Below are 1,841 nucleotides of genomic sequence, written 5' to 3'. Positions count from 1 at the left end.
AGTAATGATGTAAAACAATTGAAGGACTTCAAATTTTTATTAGTGTTTTTCATGAAGAGATTTTGTTGTTTCTACAGATGGTGTTATGTGTGATTTAATAAACTTGTCTTATCATTTCTCTTATGAGATCATCTTGTGTCTTCTTTTTTGTTTTTGCATCTCTGGCACTTCTCGCAATATTACTAAAGAGGTCATGGCATATTTGTAAAGGGAACATATGCACTGATATTTTTCTTCATCATTTTCTACCTTTCCTCTCTCCTGGGCTATTCTTAATTGGAAAAATGTGGTAAATTTCATGAATTATAAAAATGTCAAAGTCACAGCTTTCTCACCTAAACACAGAAGTGCCAAATATGATAGAAGCATTCTTATTTTTATCAACATTGTTACAGATATAGGCAGCTGGATTTGATGAAATATATCCACTACAAATGGTAGGTAATTTAAAGCAGAATCAGTTCCCCTTGATCTTGTCCTTTTGTTCTATGTTGTCACCATTTTGCCTTTTATTATTCTGACTTTTCTTGTTCCCTTTGAGAATGGCAAAATTTGTACCACATGCCGTTTGCTTTTGAGAACCTCTATCATTCCAGTCCATTTGATACAGCAGAGAATATGTGTATCTCCACCTTTTATTGCCAAAGGCAGCATTAACAGAGGATGATTAGAGAAATAATACATGTGCACCTCAGGATTCCAATAAGGGGGAATATAGTTTACATTATAAAACTTCATTTATTACTGTCTAAAACAGCACTGAAAATTTTGAAAAAAAGCATGTAGTTCCTACTGTAAATGTTATTTTTTACTCATTATAGGTAAATACTGCACATTGTTAGTAGAAATATTTTATACAACATTTTCCTTATCCAGTGTGGTTTATCATAAGGAATGTATATTAATATTAATAAACTATATTTCTACAAATATTTTGTGAGCCTACTTAAACTTTATCTCACCAATAAGACATGAAACACATTTTATATAAAGGTTGTCACCCAGATAGGAGTGCAGTGATTCGATCATAGCTTACTGCAGCCTCCAACTCCCGGGCTCAAGTAATTCTTCCACTTCAGCCTATAGTTTAAGTTTTTTGTGTGTGTATGGTTTTGGTCCATTTTTAGATTAACTTTTGTGTACAGCATGAGGTAGAGGACTTCTTCAGCATCCTGTGTAGCTGGGAGTACATGCACACACCATCATGCCTCCCTAATTTTTAAATATTTGGAGAAAAAAATTTAACTCCTGGCCTCAAACAATCTTCCTGCTTCATCCTCCCAAAGTGCTGGGATTACAGGTGTGAGCCACTGTGCCTGGCTGAATTGGAGTACCTTGCTTCTTACACCAATAATAAATGTATTATTTTAATTAATAATTAATAACATACAAAAATAATGACAATTATAAATCTGAACAGCTTTGGGGTTTAATTTATATTTTTGGAGGTGGAGTGTGGTAGTCTCAGAGAAGAACAGCTCAGCTCCCCATGAAGAGACCCAGCAGTGGGGTGCATAGCTGACTGAAAGTCTATAGCTGCACTTCTTTGGATCCACCATGGTGTTTAGGCAGAGTCCATTCTTACTCTGAGATGCCCTCCACCAATGACTCAGCAGGGTGGGTGGGACTTAAAGAGAGCTGGCAATTTCCATCTAACATATGTCTTTTCTGATAGGAAATCTTTGTTTAGAGACTTCCTATCCTCCTGACCAAGACTTTTTAGAACTGCTCTATGGTCTGAGATTTTCCTAACCGATCTTTCCATTTTTTTCTCCTTTCGTAGGTGACTTTCATCCTGGTCTGAGGCCTTCATCGCTGACTCTTGCTCCCTCCAGTTTTAT

The sequence above is a fragment of the Homo sapiens genome, chromosome 11 (assembly GCF_000001405.40).
Source record: "Homo sapiens chromosome 11, GRCh38.p14 Primary Assembly".
Classification (NCBI taxonomy): Eukaryota; Metazoa; Chordata; class Mammalia; order Primates; family Hominidae; genus Homo; species Homo sapiens.
The sequence above is the reverse complement of the archived record's forward strand: the minus strand, read 5'-3'. Positions refer to the sequence as shown.